Below are 26,578 nucleotides of genomic sequence, written 5' to 3' on the forward strand. Positions count from 1 at the left end.
TGTTTTCCAGGCTGGTCTCCAACTCCTGAGCTCAAGAGATCCACCTGCCTCGGTCTCCCAAAGTGCTGGGATTACCATGCCCGGCCCCAGTTACCTTCTTTTTCAATATTTAAGTTAGGTATTACACAAAAATGTTTGCAATGTAATTATCAACTTCTATAAGGCATTCCTTACTTGTTTACTTTGCACTAAGTTGATTTATATTACAGTGTTGAGAAGCTCACTGTCTGGATGTGGACTGTGCTGGGCCCTGAACACTTGCTTGTCTAACTTCTTTTTTTTTAACATTTAAAAAATAAGCTTTATTTTGGAGTAATACTAGATTTGCAGAAGAGTTGCAAAGGTAGTACAGAGAAGTCTCATATGCCCCTTGCCTAGTTTCCCCATTGTTAACATCTTAACAATACCAAGTATATTTGTCACAACTGAGAAACTGGCTTGTCTAACTTCTAAATGTGCTTCTAAATGCCCAGGCTTTCAGGAGTGGAGAAATGCCCTACTCAGGTTGATGTTTTTTCTTGCTCCGGGAGCCTGAACTTTCCACCCTTGGCTTTGGTATCCATGTGTGGTCCCTTTTCCAATGGTGTTTTCCTTTCTTATTTGATTTTTGTATTTATCATATCTCGATTTACATTCCCAAATGTAAAATAAACTATTTCAAAATGATTTTTTCGTACTTCTAGAGTTGAAACAGAGGAAAAAAATGCATTGTTCTGGCAAGGAAAAATATACTAACAGGAGTAAAATAAAAACAGTCACTTCATATTCAAGGCCAAACTCTGGAATTTAATCATCTCTTATAAAAAAATAAACAATTTTTGAAAATTACTTAATTCATCACTGATTGAGCCTGGAAATTAGATATCGAGGAACAAAAACAATAAAACTCTGTTAGTTAGCATGAAAAGGCCAAAGCATGTTTAGTCTAAGTGTTTAGGTTAATAGACAATCACTGTGTGTTCACTCTAAAATAAGAGATCAGTTGTGAAAGAGGGCTCTAGTGAGTGGGTTAGGAAGGTACAATACATGAGAGCACTGGGCTGAGAGTCTACTTCCAGTTTCTCAGGCTAATTCTGCTACAAATGCTTTGTATCCTCCAAGGCAAGCAACTTTATCTCAAGCCCTGATGTCTTCACTTGTAAATAAGAGATAGTTAGAGATAAAGAAGTGGCTCAAGATTTCCCCAAATTCTAGATTCTGATTCCATAACAAAATCCAATTCCCTAAACACTCAGGAGTTTAATTGAGTATTATTGGATGATTCACTTGGCAGTTAGGATCTTGCTGTGGAAGAGGGTCACCAGTATGAATATTCACTATTGTGATGATGAAATGTATAGGTGAGAATTCATGGATAGTTGGAGGATCAAACACAAGATCAATGCTTTCAAATCTGCTTTATGATGTGGCATACATAGAAATCAGGGGTAAACAGATGAGGATGCCTAGACCTGGGGCATACTTAGATTCTCTAAACTATTCCCAGTTCCTCCATGGGCTCATACTTAGATTCCCTAAGCTCTTCCTAGATCCTCCAAGGGCTGAGAGGATTGATTTCTTAGGTAACAACTTATAACCCAGTAATGGCATAGCCTAGCCCAACAGTCAGGAAGCTCTTGACTATGGACCAGAATTTGCTCTAGAATGGAGAGTGACATGTAACACAATAAACATGATAGCTACTAAAGATAACATGCCTTTATATTTTTATTCCTTTTTTTTTTTTGAGATGGAGTCTCACTCTGTCACCCAGGCTAGAGTGCAGTGGCGTGATCTCCGCTCACCACAACCTCTGCCTCCTGGGTTCAAGTGATTCTCCTGCCTCAGCCTCCTGAGTAGCTGAGCTTACGGGCACATGCTACTGCGCCCAGCTAATTTTTGTATTTTTAGTAGAGATGGGGTTTCACCATGTTGGCCAGGCTGGTCTTCAACTCCAGACCTCAGGTCATCTGCCTGCCTTGGCTTCCCAAAGTGCTGGGATTACAGGCATGAGCTGCTGTGCCTGGCCTATATTTTCATTCTTTAGTTCTTGTAAAAAAAAAATTCAGAATAAATGAGAGGGAACAGATGATGTGAAGGGGGTGGATAGTAAATACAGTTGGTGACACACTGATTCTGAGATACCTCTGAAGCATCTGAATGTAGATATTGAGACTATTGGTAGATCCTCAGAGCTGGAAGTCATGAGGGAATTGTGGGCTGCAGAGAGTTTTGGAAGTCATTAGCCTATATAGATGAGAGTTGAAGCCATGGATGAGGTTTCTCTGAAAGAGAGAAAATGAGAAGAAGCCAAGGATAAAGCTCAGGGGAACACTAATATTTAAGGAGCTGGCAAAGAGAAGGAGCTAGCAAAATCTATAGGGTTCATTTACAGCTACTTACACAGTGATTTAAAGTCATTTCATATGTGAAAAACATAAGACCAATGGATATCCACATATAGATTTGATTTGTGTTGTGTAAGGATATACACAAATGCAGGCAAAGGAACCCACATGCTGTGGATTTGTTCACTCATTCACTCATTCACAGTGGATGCATTGATTCTTTCAATGAATGTTTACTGAGCACTTACTGTGTTCCTGGCATTATTCTAACCACTAGGGATAGAGCAGTAAGCCAAACAGGTTACGTCCCTTCCCTAGCGGAGTTTTACTATGGCACATACCACCACACACACCACTAAATACTTTAGAGCTTGCTCTCCAAGAGGGAGAGCAGAATGTAGACAGGCTCTGTATTTTTACCTCTCAAGAATCCTGTGTCTTCCTAAAGGATTGCTTGTCATCACACCAACTCATAGCTTTGGCCCTGGTGCTGTATTTGACTTTTATTCACTTAAAAGGTTAACTGGATGGCTGAATTACAGGATTCTAGCCAAAGTGTGCTCCCTAGAGGATTCCCAGCTAATCAGTCAGCTGAGCTGAGCTGACGACTGTCTTCCATTCCTAAGGAGCTGGGCATTTGCAGGCTGAGCTCACACTGTGAAGGCTCAGCAAGACCTTGATCTCCCTTCCCAAGTCATGGCTGAGTGACAGGGAGCAGCAAAGGTCATGGTTCAAATCTGAGGTGGCAGATTCTGAGGACAAAGCCTGCAGAGATCGCTTTCTATTGGGAACTTTCTCATTTTAATTCCTTGTCAGAATATTCCAACTCCAGGCCTTCCAACTCCAAGGAAACTGAGGCAAAAATCTACCTTCTATCTTGTTATTTCCCCCAGATTAATATTTTTCTTAAAATTTTCTCAGATAATTAGTAGATCAGAGATTTTCTTTATTTTGGGGCTGGTATGTTTTGGGTTTTCATTGGCTAATTAGCCAACTTCATCTCTAGAACTTTCTGTTTCTATCAATATCTATCCAAGGATGTCTCTAATCTCCCTGGTTCTTTAACGTAATTCCCATGCATGAAGCCCCCCACACCCGCTTCTTTCTCCATTGTCTGGTTGAGATCTAGTGGAAAGCCTACATGGCAGTGGAGATTGGAAAGTAGTCTTTGGGTGAAAATATGCTCCATTATGGCTAAAGTGTTGGCTATGCCAGTCCTTTTAATTAATGAACTTAAAGTAACCTTAGACTCCTTCCTCTTCCATCATCTGTCATACCTAAATAATTATATATGAATTAGATTTCTTAAAATGCTATATGTACATGCATGCTTTAGCAAGTAACTTTTAATGCATCCCTATTACAGACTGGAACCCAAATTTATTAGCCTATTCTTTGACCTAGTGATGAGTGCTTTCAGGATTTATCTTACCAATAGAGTCATACATGCAAAATAACCTATTTGAAAAATTATTTATTGTAGCATTATATGTAATAGCAAAATACAGGAAGTGATTTAACTGTCCATTTATTGGGGACTGTTAATAAATTATGATTCATCTCTACAGTGGAGTACTATGCAGCTGTTAAAAAGGAAATTATTTATATACTGATGATAATGACCTCTAAACTATACTGTAAAATGAAAACAGCTAAAATTTGTGAAAAAAGAATACACACGCATACACACATGCATATCCAATTTCTTGTAATATGCACTTAATATCCCTGGAAGCATACATAAGAAACATCAGTTTCCTCAGGAGTGGAGAGTTGGGTAACTGAGGAATAGGAGTGGGAGGGGAACTTTTCACTATAATATGCTATGGGGACTTTTGATTTTTGAGCCATGTAAATTGTTACAGATAAATATACAAATAGGAGCTAGGCGAGATGCCTCACACCTGTAATCTCAACACTTTGGTAGGCTGAGATAGGCGGGTTGCCTGAATCCAGGAGCTCAATACTAGCCTGGGCAACATGGAAAATCCCCATCTCTACAAAAAATATGAAAATTAGCCAGGCGTGGTGGCATGCACCCGTAGACCCAGCTTTTCGTGAGGCTGAGGTGGGGGGATCACTTGAACCCAGGAGGTTGAAGCCGTAGTGAGCCTTGGTTGCATCACTGCACTCCAGCCTGGTAGACAGAGTGAGACCCTGTCTCATAAATAAATAAACAAACAAAAACACTTTAAATTTTAAAATTCTTCACCTGGCATTTGAAAGCCCCTCACAATCTGCCCTTGATTATATTATCAGGCATATTTCTAGAATATCACATTTTCCCTTGCACAAGCCGTCTGCTCTGCCCACCAAGCACCTCCTGCCTCATGTGTGATTCCATTTAGGTCCTTTCAAAGCCAAGTTGCCAGGTTCTAGTTCCAATTCTACCCAACTCGCGTTTTCTGGAAACTCCGCAAAAAGCACTGTGCCTGCAGCTGCAGGCTATACTCTCAACTTAGCCTTTTCTCACTTTGTATTCCCTGGGCATGTAAAATTTGTTAGGGCAACATCCTTGATCTTAGACCCTTTTGTGGAGGGAAGGAAAATAAATGGGGTAGAAAGAGCTGACAAAAGCTTCAAACTTCTTCAGTATCTGCTTAAAGGCCCATCTCCGCTAGGAAACCAGGCCTATCCATTCAGCCATGGAGATCTCCTCCCCTGGCTCCTATAAGTCTAATTATGATGACCCATACCACCGCCCAGCACCGACCTTATGTAGCCATACATTGACATGTGTGATCATGCTGTGTCCCCCCACCAACTCAATCTATGTCTTTACCAAATATTTAATGAACACCACCATGCTACCATGTTACCAGGTAGCAAAAGATGACCGAGACCCCATTCCTGCTGACAATGGAACTCATAGGAGAATCAAATAACAATTGTACTTGAAGAAATTGTCTCTAAGATAGTGCGACATGGAATTGAGACCTCTGTGCTCTGCATGGAAGACCCGAGAGGGCTGCTAAGGGGATACTGTCCTTGACATGAGTCATGAGGATATATATGTATCACTTTTCAAGTGGAAACAAGCGGAAAAAGAAAAAGGCATTTAACAAGAAGGTGTTTCAGGAGAATTCCAACTAATTCAGTATGGCTGAAGTACACAGCACCTGCAAAAAAGCAAAGGTGGTGAGGGTGGATCCATAGGCATGAGCTAAAACAAATTCCTCCTGTGTGTAGGCTCCTTAGCAGCAGAGATTTTTGTGTGTTTATTGATGGATCCTGGGTGCTCCATAGTGCCTGGCACAGAACAGGTACTAAATATATATTTGTTGTATAGGAAAACAAATCAATGTTGGAAATGGATTAATAAATGTATGTCAGGACCAGAAGTTTGGACTTTGACCTAAAGGGTTATTGAAGGACTTTAGTCAGCTCAATGGCTAGGTCATACGTTCATTTCAGATAAGCACGTAATCAACTGGAAAACAAATGAAAGTATATAAAGGGGCTCAATGTGAAGGCTTACAGAGAACACACAGACATCATCTCTTTATACATATATGTAATGTCCAATAATAAAATAAATAGCAATAAAAATTTAAAACACCAAGTAAAATTAAAATGTGCAAGATGTACATCTTTAAAAACAATAAAACTTAATAAAAGAATAAAAAGAAGAAGACTTGACTAAATAAAGGGAAACATCATGTTCTTGGGCAGGAAGTCTCATATTGTAAAGATGTCACGCTTCCCTAAAGTAATATATAAATGTAATACAGTTTCAATTAAAATCCCAGTGAGGTTTTGTGGTACTTGACGAATAGCTTTTAAAATTCATTTATATGTACAGGTGAATGAAAACGGCCAAGAAAAACTTGAAAAACCAATAAAAATGAGAAAGGAGCTTGCTTAACCAGATCAAAAGACACCAAATAAATTTATGGTAACTAAAACAGTAAGGTACTAGAGCAGGAACACAGAAATTGAACAGAGTCAAGTATCTAAAAACAAATCTTGTGTATAGTTAGCAGTGGTGATAGCTCACATTTATTGAGAGCTTACTATGTGCCTGGCATTTTTCTAAGCATTTTGTGTTACTCATTTTATTCTCATAAAACCCTCTGAAGGGTGTCTTGTTATTATCCCCATTTTATATATGACAAAGCACACATAGATTATGCTACATGCCTATGGTTTCAGAGCTGGTGAGTGACATCCAGGCTGTCTGACTCAAAAGCCTTCATTTTCAATCACAATAAAATGGTCTTTCTGCAGGTAAAAAGCAGAGGCATTCAAAACATAAGAGACAAATTTGACTATATAAATATTTAAGGCATTGATCCTGAAAAAAACAGTGTTAAATGAAAAGCGAAAAGCTAGGAAAATATTTGCAAAGTACGGGAATTCTTACACATCAATAAAATATGAACACCTAAATAGACAAAGTAAACAATCATTATGAACAAGACAATTTATACAAGAAGAAATGCAAATGGCCAATAAACATATAAGATGCTCAATCTCAATGGCAATCAAAAAAAAGAAAATTAAAATGAGATGTCATTTTTCTCCCATCAGAATGATAAGAATTAAAGGTAGGAGCCTAGGGTTGGCAAGAACATGGTGGGAACAGTATCAAGCCAACAATATTGGAGCTTGAGGTAAAAGGAAAAATCAATAATATTGATTCTACCTTTATTTCAAATGTTGATATTTTGTTCATCATGGACTTTTCTTGCATGAATTTTGATTTAAAAATATTGTATCAAAATATTTGTTTTGATTACTGAGGTTTGTTTATAGCACGTTAAATTTTGTGTCCAAGGAAAAGTGCCTCACTCGTGTCATATTAGTCCCAACTCTGCATGGACAGTCTGCAAATATAAATCAAAATGTTTAGGTATGCTTAGCCACTACTAGCACAGCAATTCTTTTTCTAGGAATTTAACCTAAAGGAATAACTCATCAAGCACACAGAGATAAAAGTACAGAGATGCTCGTTATGGTATGACTCGTAAGAAAAAGTTGTAAACTATCATTAAGAGATTGGTTAAAGTATGATATATTTGTACGCTAGAATACTATACAGGCATTAAAAATGATGTCATAGAGGTGTGCATATTTAAAGGAAAAGATATCCGTGTTGCATTAAAGAGTACATAAAAAAGCAAGAATATGTACAATGTGTACAATAATTCCAATTATGCAACACACACATGTAACTCCAAAAAAAGTCTTAAAAAGTAATAAGTTTTTATTGGAGTGACATGAAAAAGTAGCAAAATGGAATGTCACACTTCACACAGTCTCTCATCGTGGCAGCTATTTTATTTTCTCTCACAAAACTCCCTTTTGCTAACATACCCTCTTACAATTTTTTGACATATTTCAATTTCCCCATGGTAGCACGTAGTGCCTCATATGCCTGCATTTAATCTGCCCCCATGTTTTCAATTCTATAGCTCTGCCCATCACCCAGGAGGACTAGTACCTTTAACACATTAGCCTTCTTTCCTACAAGGCAGGTGTAACAGACATTTATTTTTCTTAGGGGAACTCCTTGGCTTATGAGTCTGCCTCCCTCTATAGAAGCCAGACTCTTTTTATTCCAGCCTCCCTTTCCACTTGAGCATAGACATATGACCTGGGCTCAGTCAATCAGCTGCCCCTGCCCAAGACTTGCAATCAGAAGCTAGTGACTGAAAGCAGCAGGTGCCATGTAGAATCCAGTCTGGTTGTGGTGGTGGCAGCTGATGCCTTCAGTTTTCAGAAGCAGCAATTGCAGGGCTCCCGGTGGAGGCAACCAGTGCCCAGCATCTGCCGGGTCAGCAGAGCAGGCTCCTGTACTGCGTTCAGTGGTGGGGCTGTTGTGTTTCCTCCAGACCAGCTCTGCAGTATGACTGGGACTTCTCTGGCCATGCAGCCTCCACGCCTGGGTTGCTGACCATTCCAGAGATTCTGTGAGTGACTTCACATTCTTTAACAAATCTCTTTCCTGCTTAAATTAAATGTTTGCTTTCCATTGTTTTCAACTAAGAATCCTCACTAATACATAGTTATTTTTGGTACTGCCATATATATGTGTGTATGTGTGTAGAAATCTGATTTCAACACCCATTATAGCTTACTCTCCCAAAGAAAAACAAGTGTATAGGTTAAATCAAGTTGATATGCTTAGGGAAGCTTCATTCATCTAGAACTGTATAGTCAAATACAATAGCTACTAGGCATGCATGGCTATTCAAATTTAAATTAATTAAAAGTAAATAAAATTTAAATTCAGTTTCTCAGCAACTCTAGCCATATTTCAAGTGTTGAAAACCCACATGTGGCTATGGGTACCAAACCGGACAGTGAGATTTAGAACATTTTCATTATTGCAGAAAGTTCCATTGGACAGGACAATCTAGAGGGATCTTGAGATTTCACCAGCCCACCTCACTGAACCATCACAGAGAGTGAAAAACCACTTTGGGTTACATGCATTGCACTATCTAACCATATCGCAGAAATTTTGTGTCAACAGAGAAGTAACCTTGCTAACTAGATTAGAGTGTGTTTTACTTCTCTATTTAAATTATTCTTGTTTTCTTGCTCTCTGCCTCCCAGCCTCCCATTCTCTTTCTTTCCTTGCCAGGACTTTGAATTTTTTCAGGTTACTTGGCCATATGCTTTAAGTCTTCTTGTGATAGTATCTGCCCCACCAACTTTACAGGATTGCTGTGAGCCAATAATATAATTTGGGAGGGAATTTTATATTCATGATTGGTCTGAAATGAGCCCTGATATTAGATGATTCTATGATTCAAGCCATCTGACTTTGAGCAAATCACTCAACTTTCCTGGATTCCTGTTTCCTCACCAGTCAATTGAAGAAGTTGAATAAGATAATTTCTAAGTTCCATTAACAACATTAAAAAATTATTTTATATAGAGCCCCAAATACTTTATTTATGATCTCTTCAGCAGAGCTGAGGAGTTCTGATGCAGGTGGCCAATGATGAGGCAGGTAGAGATGACAATAATCAAGAATGAGTCTTTTTTCAGGATTTGATGGGCACTAGCCCATTTTACTAGAGGCAAAATGAATATAAAAGGCAGAACAGCAAAGTGAAAGCTTATACTACAACCTCTTTCTCTCAAATCACTCAATGGTCATATTTTTCATGCACCGTAGTTAATGTTTAAATGTTCAGAAGAAATTGCAAATACGTGAAGTTTTTAATCTCTTTCTTTTTGAGATGCCCAGCTTCATGCTTGGCAATGCATTCCTTGCTACGGGAACACAGTCTACCTGAAAATGATTCCATTGTTGTTCTAACTAACTATATGTTCTTCTAAAAAATGTAAACACATATTTCAGAGGTAACCCCTTTAGATCAGTGCCAGGTCCATCCCAGAGAAAACCTCTTGGGCCTCCGCAAAGGGCTTTCTATTCAGGAATTCAAATACACACGAGAGTGTCAACCTGTCTCTCTTGAGTCTCCTCCACTACAGTTTCTATTACCAGATTAAAATGTTAAGCTGAAGCTTCTTGAGAAGCAAGGGTATTCTAGGTGAGAATGTGTTCAAGTCTTGCAGATTGGATAGCTTAGAATATCTTTTTAGAACTTTCTATCAGGAAAATGGACAGTCCTTATTGTTATTAGGGAATTGTGTTATGATAACAACATTCATTAAGCATTTCTACGTGTTAAGCACTTTATATGCATTATAGCATTCCCATTTTACAGATGTAGAAACAGGGATGCAGAGTGGTTTGGCAACTGCCTTGCCTTACATCTCATAGTTAATCAATGGTGTGAAGTTGAGAGGATTTGAAGCTTGGAGCTGCTGCAACCATCTTGCTCCTACTTCCAGGTGGAAAGTGATCACAACACACAGAAGGAAGAAGTAAAAGAAGCGAGCTGAGAAAAATCTCATCCTGATGCAGCAAGTGAGCCCTAAAATCAGTTGTGCCTGAAGCCAGCTCTATCCCTGCACACTGAAGCTTTGACGAATCAGTCCCAACCCTTTTCACTTAAGCTTTGGGTGTTAGTTCTTCTTTAATATGTACTCTCGAGAATTTTACTTGATCTAAACTTGTTTTATTTAATGTTACCAGTGAAAATATACATAACCTTATCCAAGGGATAAGTTTTAATTCAGGAGTGTGCAGAAAAATAGTTCAAATTTTTTTTATTGTGGTTGAATTTAAAACCACACCACCCCCATTGTGGCTCCCATAAGCTGGCTGGACATGGAGGTTTGTATGTCACACTCACCCCCTATTTCCTCATTCAGGAACCTAAGCCCTGAATTGCACTGGAGAAATAATTTACTGTGGCATTTTACTGAAACATCCTGTGGATATTTTAGGTATTTGCACAGAGAACTTTTTGACCTTTGAATAATATATGTGCTGAGAAAGGTCTTGGGATATTTTAACAACATGTTAAACTGAGATAGTCCTGATGAGATTTATTTTGGTCTCTGTTGGCTGCTACGTTTTTTCAAATCCTGTTGGAATTTTTAGTTTCTATGAGGACATTTCCAAGATTTTTTTACTGCAGCATATTTCATGCTATTTAATGGTCCCTTTATCAAAGATGACAGGCAGGCAGTTGATAAGCTCTCCAGAGAGTGACTCCTCATAAAGCCTTTCCTCCGTTAATGTGCTAGGTACATTGCCACCGACTCCCATGGCCACCTGAGCCTCCAGTAGTCCCCTCCAACTTGATGTGTCCTAAAGTGGGTGCTGGGTACTTAAAATGAATACACAATTTTCTAACATTTAAAACCGCTGATTAATTCTCTGAAAACATAAGTGCAGGTGATCACAGGCATAAACTGGCCAGTATAGCCAAAGGCATCATGAGGATTGGATCGCTTCCACAGGCAGTGGACATTAGATGATTCTATGATTCTAGCCATCTGACTTTGAGCAAATCACTCAACTTTCCTCGATTCCTGTTTCCTCACCAGTTGATTGAGGAAGCAAATATTAATTAGATTAATTAATTGAAGAAATAAATATGATCAGACTTTCCCCAACAGCCCCTTGGTAGAGGAGGCCAGAAGTAATTCTGTCAGTGCGGTATGACAGACTGCAGCTTAAACAGAGGATTAATTGAAGGTGCATGCATTTAAACCACAAGGTGCATATTCTCCCAGAATGCAGGATGGTTCCTAGGCTAGGGTTTGGTATCTTTGAAGGACCTGTTTAAATTTCTGTGCAAGTAGGCTGCCAGGAAATACATTCCTGCCCCGGAGGACACTTTGTCTCCTACAGAAAGGAACTAGCATTGTGGAAATTTGTGGGTGAGAATGCAATAGGTTGATTCTAAATTATGTTAACTGGATTTTCTTCCAAATTAATAAAAGAGCATGGACTGGACCTGATTGCTCATTGCTGAGTTCCTAGAAATGATCACTTGTTTGCATACAACAAGCGTGTACTAATTATTTCTTGAGTGAACAAATGTGCTAAAGTGGTGAGCAAATGTCTTGAGGAGACAGAAGTTACCTTGCAAAGGAGACTTTTGGAACTGGGTGTTCAAGAATGAGTAGGGGCTCTCTTGATGAAAGGAAAGAGGAGTAATAGGAGAAAAAGAATTGTAGTCAAGGAAACAGAATGCACAAGGGAATGGAGACATGGATTTCAAGCTTCTAGTAATTCATAGCAGGAATCTATAAGGAAAATCTTGCACAAAGTTATGAATGACAAACCTTCACAATAAAAGTGCAAACAAAATCCCAATTCATAAATGTCTTGCTGTGAATATTGGTCAGAAGCTGGACTTTCGCCAAAACATAAGCATTATACTAGGTCAATTACCTTTGTGAGGTGATGAAACATTTCTAGAAGTTGGCAGGGTCCTCCGTGCTGGTTTTATAGGCTATTGCATAATGTCAACTTATTCTAGAATGTTGCCTGAGGCTGCATCACTGGGATTCAAGGATTGGTCAGGAACATACATTAACCGTCTGTGTTTGATAAAGTGGGAAATTCTTCTACAATTGGTCTTTGGCTGATTGCTGTGTTTTTGCCAGTAGTGTACTTCTGACAGTTTGGATTTGGCTTAAGAAATCTAAGACAATTTTTAGAAATCAATGTGTCTTAGAAACCATTAAACACATTTATCTCCTTTTATAAGTTTAGGATATGAATAAGAAGAGTCCTTAAGGAATGATAATCACCCTTTTCTCAGGCCAATGGGATGTGTTGCAAAAGAGAATGGGGATAATCTCCAAAGATGTTAGGCTGCTGGGCACACCAGAGCATATTCCCTACTCAAGCAAGGGTGGAGATGTCTGCAATCTTTCTAACCAACAACATATCTTGAATAGCGCTCATTTGCCAGTGGAAAAAAAAAAAGGATAACATAACATCCCTTATACTAATTAACAAACCATCTGGTGCATATTTAGATAACTATTCCTGAAGTGCTTTCCTTTGCTTTCCAACCGGGGACTGTCAAATGCTAACCAACCATCCTGAAGCATGAATTGTGTGAATTTCTTATTAGGAAATGCAGATGTTAAACTAATTACACCTGGAGTGTATATTGACGTTAACTTATATACATGTATACATACAGACACCCACTGTCTATGCTGAACTACTCTGAAGTAATTACAGAGGAGATTGTGTCTTAATTCCTGATTTTTTCCTAATGGTTCCATCTCTACCTCTACTGCCAGCAAATAATGGAATCAATAAGGCTGCATGAATTAACCAACTTATACTGGACATGATTTTGCTCTTTTCTGTGTCAAATGATGCAGTTGTCAAACTTCTTATAGTAGTTTAGTTCTCAACAAATTCATTCGTTATCCTGTTGATCTCATCTTCCTACTCTTCTGAAAATGAAGAAAAGTAAACTGAAGAAAAAAACTAGTCATGGCTCCAATACCCTAACACAATCACCTTTTGAATCCAGTAAAAAGAATGGTGAACTAGAATGTTTAAACTGGAGTGAAATTGTAAATTAAAATATGCTTTTCTTTGTATAGTCTGATTGCCTGATTATCTTTTACCTCAGTGGACATTAGGGGTGAGTTATGTTACATCTAATTTATTACCAATGCTATTATTATTAATAGTAGTATTTCTTGACTATAAACAATAATTTATAATTTATAAGTAAATAGTATTATTTATGAAATGCTGAACATTGTGAAAAATTTTGTAATATAAACTGGAATAGAATAAGCATGTTATACTCCTACACATGTTCTCAGGTGAGGAAATGTTGAAGTTAGCCATGGTGCAGGTTAATATTCATATGTGTGGCATGTGCATCAGGGGAGAAGAGAGGGTAAGATCTGTGTCTTGTTTTGGCCTGAGATGCTTATGTATGAGATGACATTGGCTTTGATTCTGCTCCAGCCACAGAGCTGGATGGGGACTGTGGATGGTGCCACAAATAACGTCCTGGCCAGATTTCAGCCAGGTCTGCGATTTGAGAAGCTGGGTACTTTCGTGCCTTCAGCAGGAGCCACTTTGGCAGGAAGGACAATGAGACAGGAAGACCCCAACGAGACCTGTCTTCCTCAAAGCAAATTCAAATTACCTGCGTCATTATGTGCAGGGCTGGAAATTGTGCAAAGACCAATGTACAGATCAATGGAAGTGAAAGACATTGCACGTAAGAATAGCATTCCTTCCACGTGTACCTAGCTCTGTGGTTTCCCCAAAGCTCTCAGGTATATTGCCTCAGAAGGCTGGGAAGGTAGTGTGCTGTGATGGGAATAGCACCAGCTTTGGAGTCAAACAGTCTGAAAGCTCAGCTGTGTCTTCACTGTGTCCCTGCATGTTCATTATTTATAATAACATATCCATGACAAGGTTCCTGTGATGATTAATGAGGTATCTTTGGGGGAAAATAGCTTTTATTTATAATTGATTGCTGTCACCTAAGAATGGGTGGATGACAGTAGTTGGAAGACTTTTTGTTTGTTTATTAGATTGATGGGTGGTGGGCACGCAAGGTTAGACTAGTTAGGAAAGAGCTAAATTGTTTCCACTCATTCATTCAACACATGGATATTTGGGATATAGATGAACAAGGCAGACAAAGACCCTGATGATACGGTGATTACCTTCTAGTTGGGGAAAGACAGATAATAAAGAAATAGTCAAATAGAAAAACCATATAATGCGGGTAATGATGAGTGCTATGGAGAAAAAGAAAGTCAGGGGAGGGGTTAGAGAATGGCTGAAATGGAAAGGGTAGCAGGGAGAAGGTCTCCCTTTCAAGATGCTCAGAGAAGTCCTCTTTCTGAGGTGGTGGAGCAAGTTGTGCAAAATTCAGTGTTGAAGAGTGTTCCTGGCAGAGGTTGCTGAGGTATAAAGACCCTGCAGTGGGCATGGGGTGGGTATGTGTGACAAATTCCCCAGGGAGATCAAGGGATCAGGAGTAGAATGAGGCATGCATGGTAAGAAGTGAGTTCTGAGAGGTAGACAGGACCCAGATAATATTGAGAGGCTCAAGTTAGGGGTTCAGATTATATTCTATAGGGGCTGGGAAGCCATTGAAATGATTTGAAAAGAATGATTCCATTAATGTATATAAGAAAAGGGCAGGGATTTAGAGGCCTAGAAGGAAGAATGAGGAAACTAGAATGGGAAATAGAGTAATTTAGATGCATCCTGGAAAGGGGTTGAGGGAAAAATATATCCCTTACCTTATCTTCCCACTGGCTTGGTCAAAGAGGGTCGTTGGGGAGAAGAGAAGTGACAAAAGAACATTTGTTAGATTGTTCAAAGTATGGTGTATAATGAGAGCTCTTGCCTCTATCTCTGCTACAGAATCTTCAAGAAATCTCACACTGGTTAACAATACTTTAGGGTGAGTAGATCCTGAATGGTGAGTGGGAGGAAGTGTTGTGTCTGGCTTAATGGCTAGGCAGAGTGAGAACAGAGGCTGGAACACACGTGGAAATACCCTGGTGTGGTACAAAGCAGAGACTCAAGAAGTGTGCCTTTCCCCTTCCGTAGTCCTTACTTCGTTTTCAATCTGTGTGTAGGGCCATCTCCTTGTTTATGGAATGACATTCAACCAGCCTGAGTTCCTTTCAAGGCTGTCAGTTTATAACCCTATGGCCTATGGCTTTTATCTCCCAGACAAGGGAACTCTCTCTAAATGTAATTTTTCCCTCAATTTTAATCACAGCATTTAATGTAATCATTTGGGGGAATCAATCTGAAAATCATCAGGGATTCTTTTTTCTTTTTACTGCTACCACGAATAGTGATTGTGCAACAGAGTTGGGGAAAGACTTTTGTTTTTGATGTTGCAATAGCAGGAAATAGAAAGTTGCTGCTGTCAGCCACTTGGTCAGAGTTACATTTCTTTTGCACCACAAAAGAAGACTTGTAGGAGACTGGAATATGGTTCCAGGTAACCCAACTATACATTCAATGATGAATGCACCACTGCAAAGGAGAGGTGTGGCCATTGTTGAGTAATTTGATGAAAGAACAACTAAAACAGATTCTAGATGATTTAACCTTGACTTAAAGTAAGCCCGAGGGGGAGACCATAATTATAACTAACTTCCATTTTTCTTGGCAGAGTCTACAGTCCATTTTGTTTTCATTTCATTTAAAGTATTCCCACTACTGGATTATCTCCATTTTAGATCAATAATCCTCTTCCTCCCTTTGCAGTGGCTTTAAATGTTTTAAGAATTTGTAGTCATTTTTTTTTTAAGCTATCCTGAGGAATCAATCTAGACTATCACTTAGGAACAAGAAATGCATCATAACTGGCATCTTGCAGCTAGTATAAAGAGAGTAAATTACAAATTAAATATTGAAACTAACATTGAACTGTGCTGATAGATAGCCAATAGGCACATTTGTCAATTTAAATTTAAATGAATTACAATTAAATAATATTAAAATTCAGTCCTTTATTTGTCACATTTCAGGTGCTCAAAACAGCCACATGTGTCTAGTGTCTACCACATTGATGTAATAGATATGGAATATTTTCCTCTTTGCAGACAATTCAATTGGACAGCCTGATTTAGGAATTTTAATAGTTGGAGTCAAGAGAAGAGTCCTTTAGAGTGTATAAAGAGGCAGGAGAGTCTCATCAAACAGATTCCATGACATTTTAATTTCATTAAACATGACTTCTTCAGCAACGGATCCATGTGTTAGAACCAATTAGCTATCCCAAAGGAAGAAAAGTGAAGATAACTTTCCCACAATTTCCAATGTGTTAGTATTGCCCAGATTGTAGGTTACTTTGCAAAATGGCCAAAAGCATTTGCAGCACACGGAAAGAGGGTCCCTCTGCCAAATAATCACGAGGACCTTCCCCTCCCTGGAGAAATAGATTGAAACCTCTTCCCCTCCCTGGAGAAATAGATCCAAGCCTCTCCACTGCCATCTTGTCAAACATATTTACATTGCTCAACTGACTTGGGAAGAAAACAAATTTCCAGTATGAGACTCTCTGGTGGGCCAAGCTGTTTCTCAAGGAGCATTGAGAAATAATAGCAACTCCAAATATTACCTTGGGCAAGACAAGGCAAATGATATCCTTAACTTTGTTATCCAAGCATAGTTGAAAGAGTGTCTTCTTCCAGTTCTCTGTGTCTTTGACTCTGGCTAGACCCTCAGGGCCTGGCTACTGCCTTGCATACTAGATTCATGGGTATTTTCCTGAAGCTCCTTTGTAGCTCAAGCTGGGCCTGCTCTCCAGCAACTCAAACTCAAGTAGAGCTTTTGGCCCACCATCTTTTATGATCTCCTAGCACTGTAGGGAAGGACACACTGTGTATATATGCACATTCGCACACTTGGGATACATGCTCTCTGAGGGGCTCTGGGAGGTCATGTTTCAAAGGCTTCCTGCATCTGGGGAGTCTGGGTTAAAGGCAGTTTCATGGGACAAACTCTCAGCTCAAATCTTGTCCTGCAGGGAGCTATGAGCCCTGAGTCCAGTAACTTTAATCTTCAATGCTATGGAATTGGGTAGAAAAAGACTAAATGAAATGCCTGTAATCACACAGCAAGTTAATTATGGAATCAAAAAATGATTTTTTGGCTGAAATGTCTGTTGCATGATTAAGAAGTTTCCTCTTTTCATTTTGCACTGCTCTTTATAAAGGAGCTTTATGTGCCCAGAGGAAAAGGGAAGATGGTGTAGATACTGATTTTCACTTAATAGAGTTCCCTTGGGATGTTTGTTAGTTTTGTCCCAGGCATTAATGGTAGGTCTGCCTTCATGCACCTTTTCATCATGCTGATAGGAGGAAGAGAAACAAAAAAGAATCCTTCTTTCCCTGCTGCTTAAGACTGTAACTTGGGTTTGCCTTCTGTTTGTGTGCAACAGGCTTGGGAAGACAGGCCATCTCTCTCGTTCTCAGATGTTAAGGACTGGGACCAAATGAGAAGAAGAAAGCCAAGTAGGCGTTTCTCCCATGGTAGTTATCTTTAGTCTATGCTGAGGTCATGTCCCAGCATAAGAAAGTTGCCTGCTTATGGGCTTGGGGCCAAATTCACACTGATTCTTGAAGTCTGGAAAATCACCAACCATTCCAGCATCTAGGATCAGACTTCTTCACAGGCACAACGACGGTTAAAATCCCCTGTGTTTTTGTCTTGCGTTTGTATATTTATATGTGGAAAATAGGTCCCGGGGAACTAGTCTTGTACAAAAAAGTGAATTACTATAAATACATATAATTTGTGAATATATGCATGTACGTATAAACACACACTATAAAAGTTTTCTGTAGCGACAATGAACATGAGAGAAATTGATCATTTACATTTAAATTGAATAAATTGATGATTTATTGGAAGACATGTTCCAAGAATGGTCTAGGTGTTATGAAAGGGCTTAATCTTCCAAACCGAAAGTGAATTCAGACCACCACTCAGTCACTATTGGCCAAACAATAGTCTAAGCAAGATTAGTTATTCTTTCTTTAGTTTTAGTAGAAGGCCTTGACGTAGAGCCATTTTTGCTTCATGACTGAAAATATTTGACTGCCATTTTCTTTTTTTACTTTTATTTTTATATATTTTAAAATTTAATTTATTTTTAAGTTTTTATGTATTTAGGGGGTACAAGTGCAGATTTCTTAAATGTATCTATCGCGTAGTGGTGACATCTGGGCTTTTAGTGTACCCATCACGTGAATAGTGAACACTGTACCTAATAACAGGTGATTGTCAACCCTCACCCCAACCTTCCACTCTCCCGCCATCCCACCTTTTGTAGTCTCCAGTGTTTATTATTCTGGTCTGTATTTGACTGCCATTTTCTGAAGCCTGGAGAAAAGCATCTCTTCCCATGATTACAGCTAACATGTGGTGTGAATATGCAACCCAAGAGCAATTGACAGGAAATAGATAGCCTTAAGGAACTGAATCACTACCACTGTCGCCGTCTCTTTTGTATATTAGCCTTGGCCATGCTAATCTTTAACATCATTGGGAACTAGAAAGCATTTGAAAATTGATTATAAGGACAGCATAGTGTAAGATGATTTTATCGCTAGGGAGGCATCATCTAGGAAAGTCTTTGCCAGGAAGCGTTCTTTCTCATTCTAAATCCTAGGAGGCACAGGAGGAAAGCTAGGGATGAGTGCTCTGGATCATAAGGCACCAAAGGGATCCTGGAAACGCTATGATTACAGTGGCTTCCAGAGATGTGGTAGGAAAAATGTGAGCACCAGTGGTCAGCATGACCAACTTACAGGTCCAGCAAACTGGGTGGCCTGAGTGGTCATCACGATGGGAAAGACATGACCCATGGATCTATTTGTTCTGTGACAGCACAGTTAGGACTGTGCAGTCATGGGAGGTGACTAACAAACTCACTGACTCCATGGCCATGTGGCCAAGGGTGAGGTTCAGCTTGATTGTACAAAGTGTCACTCACTCTGCTGAGTGTGTATTTGGAAGAAGAGGCAAGTGAAATGTTAGAGACAGCAGCAGCCACTGTAAATGGAAATGAAGCATGCCAGGAGACCTGCCACAGATGAAAAGAAGCAAGCCAGGCACACAAGAAAGAAAGGTTGAAGGAAAACAGGACAAGGGCTGGAACTAGGGCTTTGCTAATTTTAGCTAGGTGCATCTACTGACCTCATAGTAACAGTAATTGACAGTCCAACAAGAACAATAACTAGTTAGCACACAGTCAATTAGTTATTTTTCATCCTACATTGTTTAGCAAATATGTAAGTAGTTCACTCATAGGGTTCCAAGGCTTGTGCTTTCAAAGAACCAAATTAAAGAACTCTGTTCAAACATTATTACTAATCTTAAAATGGGCAGTTGCCATCCAGTTTGAAGGTTTTATTCCAACTGTGTTTTCTCAAAACCATCATAACATTTGGGTGTTGGAAACAAAAGACATTAGGTGGATGGACACCAACCTGACTAGCATGGCTTTGATGCCTTGGCATGGAAAATCTTTATTGAGTCTTCCAGATGGCAAGAGGCACAGACAATCATTATATATTTGGCCTCTAAACTGAAAGTGTTCCTGGTACCAATATTGGAAAAAAAAGAAGTGGTACTCATTTACTGAGCACCAACTATATATAATCTATTGCACTTGCTATGAATTTCTTTATATACTCTTATGTTTCCCTCACAGTATATCTGGGAGGTAGAATTACTATTCCTCTATTAAAGATAAGGAAACAGTGGTGTAAAGTTTCAAGTGAGATCTTCAACCCACTTTCTCACAGTTGCCCCCAGAGCCTGCCGCTGAGAACTTACAATTTGGAGAAACGACAGCTGCCACCAGGGGCTTACTGATTGGTGTGCTCTTTTTGAAGAATGAACAGAAGTAAAAGTCATACAGTTAGGAAAAGAGAATAAAACTGTCTTTATTCATAGAATAATGATTGTTTAGGTAGGAAATTAAGAAATCTACAAAAAGTTACTAGAACCAATAAGTGAATTTAGCAAGGTCTCAGGATAAAAGATCAATATAAAAACGTCTATTTCTATACACTAGCAATGGATGATTGAAAAATGACATTTAAAAACATTTCACTTACAGAATTCCTGGAAAGCATTAGGATCTGAATCATTTATCATTACGGTAGTCTTCTATCCAGAAGAAAAAGGGAGTCAACAGAGAAGAGTTGCTAGGAAAGTCAAATGTCTACATTTTACTTCCAAAGAGTTGAGAATCCTCAGACTCTTTACACCATGCCCAGAGATACTAAATAATTTGCCCAAATCCACACAACTAGTAAGCCCAAAAACTGGGATTTGAATTTTGGCATCTTTGATTAAAAAAATGTCTAGTTTTTTCCACAGCGCCCCTGCAATTAATTAAAGTGTTTCCCTGTGTACTGCAAATGGTGGAACACCTTATCTGCTCTTTATTCCAAGAGCCCAAAGGTTCAAAAATTGTTTCCGAACTCTCAGAATTTCCATTTGGCTCTTGGTTGGCATTCAAAGTCCAATAGTATAATAATGCTGTCTCATATTTGAACAATATAGTTTATTAAACTTTCCCATGTATTACCTCATTTGGTTCTCACAATAACTTGTGGATAAGAAATGGTTAAAATTATCTCAATTTTATAGCTGATGCATAGCTAGACCCAGATGAAAATCTACTTTGAAAACATCAACTCAGAAAGAGCACCAGACTTTGCTGACATAGACAGGGTTTTGTTAATTCAAGTAGTTCATTGACTTAGACAACATCTAAGCATTGAAATTTATTTAAGAAAGTACAGGTTGTTATATTCATTTACTTAAACCAGTACTCTAAGGAAGATGGGGAAACGGAAGTGTGGCCTCATGTTTTAGAGAATGCCATCAATTGTAAAAAGAAATAGGAAACTCATTTTTAATATGCCTATTTAAAAAAAATAGATGTCATGACTGAAGGCTTTACTCATCCAAAGCTGAACTATTCCTTGGTATATAGGTGTATAGATCACTGATTCAAAACATTCAAGAGTTAGAAAGGGATCTTAGAGGTCTCCTAGTTGAACCTGCTCTTTCCTAGTTGAGGGAACAGAAGCTCCAGGATTTTCAATGATTATTTCTGGTCACACCACTAATTAGTGGCAGAATTGGTCTTGGAATCCAATTAGAGCCAGACTCCAGGCCAGTTCTATGATACACCCCAAGCTCAGGAATTTCTTCCTCCTCTTTTTAATTTCTATGAGACACTTTCAATAATAACTTTGAGGTCTCTAGTTCTGAGTGGCCATGATTTTGTAATGCAAGTGATGCTAGCTCAGAAACTCCATGCCTGGCCCTCTCTAGACACCCAAGGGAAGGGCTGCAGAACGTGGGCAACTCCCAGGGCTTTTGAGGCCCTGGAGCTTCCCACCCGGAACACAAAATACACTGTCATGTGTCATCTTGCTTTGTGACTTCTCATCTTAAGGTCTTGTCAAAGCTGGCCACGTAGGCCTTTGAAAATATCATAGAGTTCTTTGAAGTAGGTTGTTTACTTTTCTTGAAACACATCTGTGATTCATCTTATTTGCATTTTAAAATGTAAGTGTTTTGGCCAGCAATTTGAGGGAGAAGTCCAATAGAAAATCAGTATACCAGTCCAATTTGACAGCTTTCATCTAATCTATCATCACTTTCTATTCATTTGTTCACTCATTCATTCAGCAACTACCTAATGGGTATTTACTACATGCCAGGTACTGTTCTAGCTGCTTGGGAAACAGCAGTGAGCAAAGCAAGGTCAGGAAGGTTTCATTCCAGGGAAAAGGGACAGATAATAAACAAAGGTATAAATTTTTTATGTGTCAGATGTTGATGAGTACTATAGCAAATAAGTAGGGTGAGTGAGGATAGGGAGTGTGGTGTGGATGGTGCTGATTGGGATGGTTAAAAAGGCTTCTTTGCTAAGGTGACATTTTGTGTAGAGACCTGATGGAAGGGAAGAAACAAGCCATGTAGCCATTTGGGGTAACAATTTCCAGACAGAGGCAACAACAAGGACTGGCTCCTGAGGCTAGGAGACTGCTCGGTATGTCCAAGAAACAGCTAAAAAATACCAAGTGGAGTGAGTGAGGTCTGGAATGGTAGAAGACGAGGTCTGGGGAGGTTGCAGGGACCAGGTTTTATAGGGCTTTATAGAATAATATAAGGACTTTTGCCTTTTCTTTTTAGACGGAGTCTCACTGTGTTGTCAGGCTGGAGTGCAGTGGTGCGATCTTGGCTCACTGCAACCTCCGCCTGCCGGGTTCAAGCGATTCTCCTGCCTCAGCCTCCTGAGTAGCTGGGACTACAGGCGTGTGCCACCACACCCAGCTAATTTTGGTATTTTTGGTAGAGACGGGGTTTCACTGTGTTGGCCAGGATGGTCTCAATCTCTTGACCTCGTGATCTGCCCACCTCGGCCTCCCAAAGCGCTGGGATTACAGGTGTGAGCCACTGCACCCGGTCAGACTTTTGCTTTTTTAAAAAACTAGATTTTTTAAATTGAGGTATGATTTACATCCAAGGAAATGCACAGATCTCAAATTTGTTTTGAAGGTATCTGGCAATTTTATACTCTGCAACTATCATGCAAACCTAGACATAGAGGATTTTCATCACCTCAGAAAGTTTATTTGTGATGCTTTCTAGTCAATTCTCCACCTGCTCCCAGCCCAGAGGTAACCAGTGTTCTGATTTCTATCACTATTCTGGAACTTTGTAAAAATGAAATTATGCATGCTTTTGAGTCTGGGTTTCTTTCACTCAATGGAATGTTTTAGAGATTCACCTGTGTTGTTGCAAATATCCATCGTTCATTGCTGGGTAGTACTCCATTGTGTAATTATATCACCACAAGTTTATTCATTTTCCTGTTGATGGGTAATTAGATTGTTTCTTGGTTTTGGCTATTTTCAATAAAGCTGCCGTGAATATTCTTGAACAGGTCTTATTGTGCATATACGTTTGCATTTCTCTTGGGTACATACCTAGGATTGAAACTGCTGGGTCATAGGGCGACAGATGTTTTAACTTTATATGAAACTGCTGAACAGTTTTCCCAAGCGATGGAACAATTTTATGCTCCCACCAGCAAAGTGTAAGAGCTTCCATTGTTCCACATGTTCACTGACATTTGGTTATGTCTGGTGGGTTTGTTTGTTTTTGTTCTAATCATTCTGGACAGTGTTCTGTGTAAGAAATATCTGTCTACTCCAAGATCGTGAAAGGATTTTCTCGTAGAAACATTATAGGTCTTAGCATTTAGGTTTTAGCTCTAAGATCCATCTTAAATTAATTTTTGTGAATGCTGTAAGGTGGAGGAAAGAAGCAGATATCCAATTCCACATTATTTGTGAAAAACACTGTATTTTCCCATTGAATTGTCTCAGCAGAAGGAGTTTGCTTTTATTCCAAGTGAGAAGAAAGTTGCTGGGGTGTCTTAAATTTTCCTCAAGGCAATAATAGTTGTCTTGCATAATAGTGGTCTACTTTGCATATTAGATGTTTATTGCACTTTTAATACACATGTGCATGCACATTGCACACACTTTGAGAACAGGAACTACATCTTGCTTTTATTTTTATCCTCAACTTCAGTACCTAGAGCAGTGCTTGGCAAACCATAATCAATGAAAGAATGAATGAATGAATTCCAGCAAATGACATAACTTTTTATTTTCCTGTGTAGCCTGTGGATGTACTCATTTGTCTGTGATGTACTCACATGTATGTACTCACATGTACAAATGAGTACATGTGATGTATTCACACACACACACACACACACACACACACACACACACACACACACACACACTCTCACAGCCACTTGAGTCGACTGAAGAGATCAGAGAAGAAAAGAAGTGAGGCAGCATTTACTACAACCTAAAAGCCAAGCCTCAGAAGAAGTGAGAGCCTGGAACTATGAGCCTTATGTATGAGCAGCTCTTGTACAAAAGAGAAGTGAGATAAAATGGGTCAGGAGTCTAAAAGATGGCAATCCCAGTTTACCTTTGCTTTTATCCTACTTTGATCAAATAATGAGTACATGTGATGTTCTCTTTGTCAAATGTACTCATTTGTCTGTGTTCTATATGGCTCCCACACATACTATGACCATTTCCACTTGAGGTTGTTAGTCTCAGATTTATGGGTCATTGATAATGTACATGCAGGATTATATATTTCTTATATATACCACATAAACCTATGCTGGCCCCTTACATGGTTAACTTAGCTGCTATTTTTGTTTTCACTTCTACATGCCATATTTGGGGTAGAGAAGATTAAAAAGCATATGTGGACAACACAGAAATGGCATCTGGAAAGCAGCCGTGTTGCAGCACTCTCAACTTCCCTTGAAAATTTCCAGAAAGGCTCAGAAACAAGAAAAAAATCTCACCACAGCCACAAAAAGCATGCTTGTCAGACAGCCTGTTGCCAAGACCCAGGAGCCACCTCCCTGAGGGAAGCAGAGATAGAAGGAGTGGAGAAAGGCTTTTATGCCTCCCCTGGAGTTTTCCATTTACAGAGCCCCTTGGTCTATTCCAGCCAGAAAGCTGAGTCCCCCTCCCATTTTTCAAGGAGCTGATTCCTTTTAAGGCAGGCAAAAAGCTGCTTCCCATTCACCCTTCCTTCTTTCTCTATTCACCCAACCTCCACAACTCCCCAAATCCAGTAGGATAAAAAAAGGGAGGGATCTTTTTCCCTCCCTTGAAGCATGTGTAAAGCTTAACTGCATCCTGGGAAGTGTAGTTCCAGCACTTAGGTGGATCCAAGAAGTAAGATTTATGGCAGAAGTATTCTACATGCTGGGATTGTAGCTTTTCATGCACAGGGTGTTGAGTCAGCGTCTCAAAGAATCAGACAATGACGGTTAGGAGCAATACCCCACCCGTGCAGAGCTGCATTAGAATTTAGAGTTAGGTTAGAAGCTGCGCAAACACCTGTTCTGCAGCTGCAGGTGTGAGATCATCATACAAATGGAGGGCCGGCATTGATGAAGCCAACCCCATACCATGTATGACTGCTGCCTCAAAGTCTCAAGAAAGCTCACCTTATTTAAATATTTATATTGAAGAAGTAAGTTATAGGAAAGACTACTTGGAATCAGTGAAAAAATTGTTGAAGACCCCAGGATGTCTATTTCAGGAACCAGGAGAAAGTTTCAAAAATTTTCAAAATATCTTTTGAAATGTAAGCCTTCCTTAGGCAGGCAACACTTTCTACCTTGCATTATGGTTGTTTGTGTGCAACGTCTTAATACACATAGGCATATACATACATCTGCCTGCACACTTTGATAACAGGAGACATGTCTTTCTTTTATTTACATTCCTAACATCAGAGCCCAGCACACTGCTTGGAATGTCATAGGAACTCAGTGAATGAATAAAGAATGAATTCCAGCAAATGACAAAATTTGCTCTTTTTTTCTTATTGAGTATGTGGATGTTCTCATTTATCTATGTTCTATTTGGCCTTTAAGAAAACAGAAATGGAAAACCACAAGGTCATAGGCATGGGAGTGGGAGTGAGGTGAAAATGAAAATGTGAAATGGATAAAATCTGACTGAAAGTTAACAACTCAAGAGCAGAATTAAAATTCGTATTAGAGTCAACAAATAACTGAACTAAACCAGAGAAGAACTGAATAATGATTGGAGAGGATAAACTGGAAATCTCTCTCAGAATGCAGAGAAAAGGGAAAAAGCTATCCATGTGATAGGAGAGATATTGTTAGATGTGGAGGGCAGAGAATGGAGTTCCAACCTCAAAATTATAGGTATTTTGAGTTAGTAAGAATAACTGAAACAGAAATAATTATAAAGACTTTGAAGAAACAATTTTCTGTACTAAAACAAAGAATATGGTTGTCATACTCCAGGCAAAATGAATAACAATTTTTTTATGACAAAGAGAAAGAAAAATATCTTGCAGATCTCAGCTGATATCATCTAGCTGCATGGCGTGGGCAATTTTCGGAGCCTAATTTTCTTCATCTTTAAATGGGAAAGTTTCCAGAGAGTCACTAGATCCCTGCTAGACGTGACTATTTTATGATTTCATAAATGTTTGGAGGACTAGAGGGTCTAAGACAGCAATTGACTATTTTAACATCTCATTTGAGATAGAACAAGCAAAGAACAATTGCAAGTCCTCCCAAACAAGGCTTTATTGCCCCTTAATATAATTTGCTCCAGTGCATTAACTGGGATTCCAGGAATGTTCTAAGCACCCCAGATGTTCTCATAGTAACATCAGGACCTCACAGCCTCTGGCAACACTACCTGTTTTTGACTTCATGTGGAGCAGAAACCTCCTGATCACAATGATGTCTGTCAAATCCAGCATTAAGATTTTGAACACTAGG

The 26,578-nt window shown here is 39.2% G+C and overlaps 1 protein-coding gene across 1 annotated transcript in view, besides 1 other annotated feature; it reads left to right on the plus strand.

Annotated features, from left to right (window-relative positions):
• PALM2AKAP2 (PALM2 and AKAP2 fusion) overlaps positions 1 to 26,578 on the plus strand; it is a 531,726-nt gene that overhangs the window by 77,494 nt on the left and 427,654 nt on the right. The gene's annotated exons all lie outside the window — the stretch shown is intronic.
• Positions 2,679 to 3,182: an enhancer, noted in NCBI's record as "NANOG hESC enhancer chr9:112483239-112483742 (GRCh37/hg19 assembly coordinates)". NCBI's record gives its function as "activates a minimal SCP1, AML or CMV promoter by ChIP-STARR-seq in primed H9 embryonic stem cells {active_cell/tissue: H9 hESC(primed)}" and the evidence as "EXISTENCE:reporter gene assay evidence [ECO:0000049][PMID:30033119]".

Source organism: Homo sapiens, chromosome 9, assembly GCF_000001405.40.
Source record: "Homo sapiens chromosome 9, GRCh38.p14 Primary Assembly".
Lineage (NCBI taxonomy): Eukaryota > Metazoa > Chordata > Mammalia > Primates > Hominidae > Homo > Homo sapiens.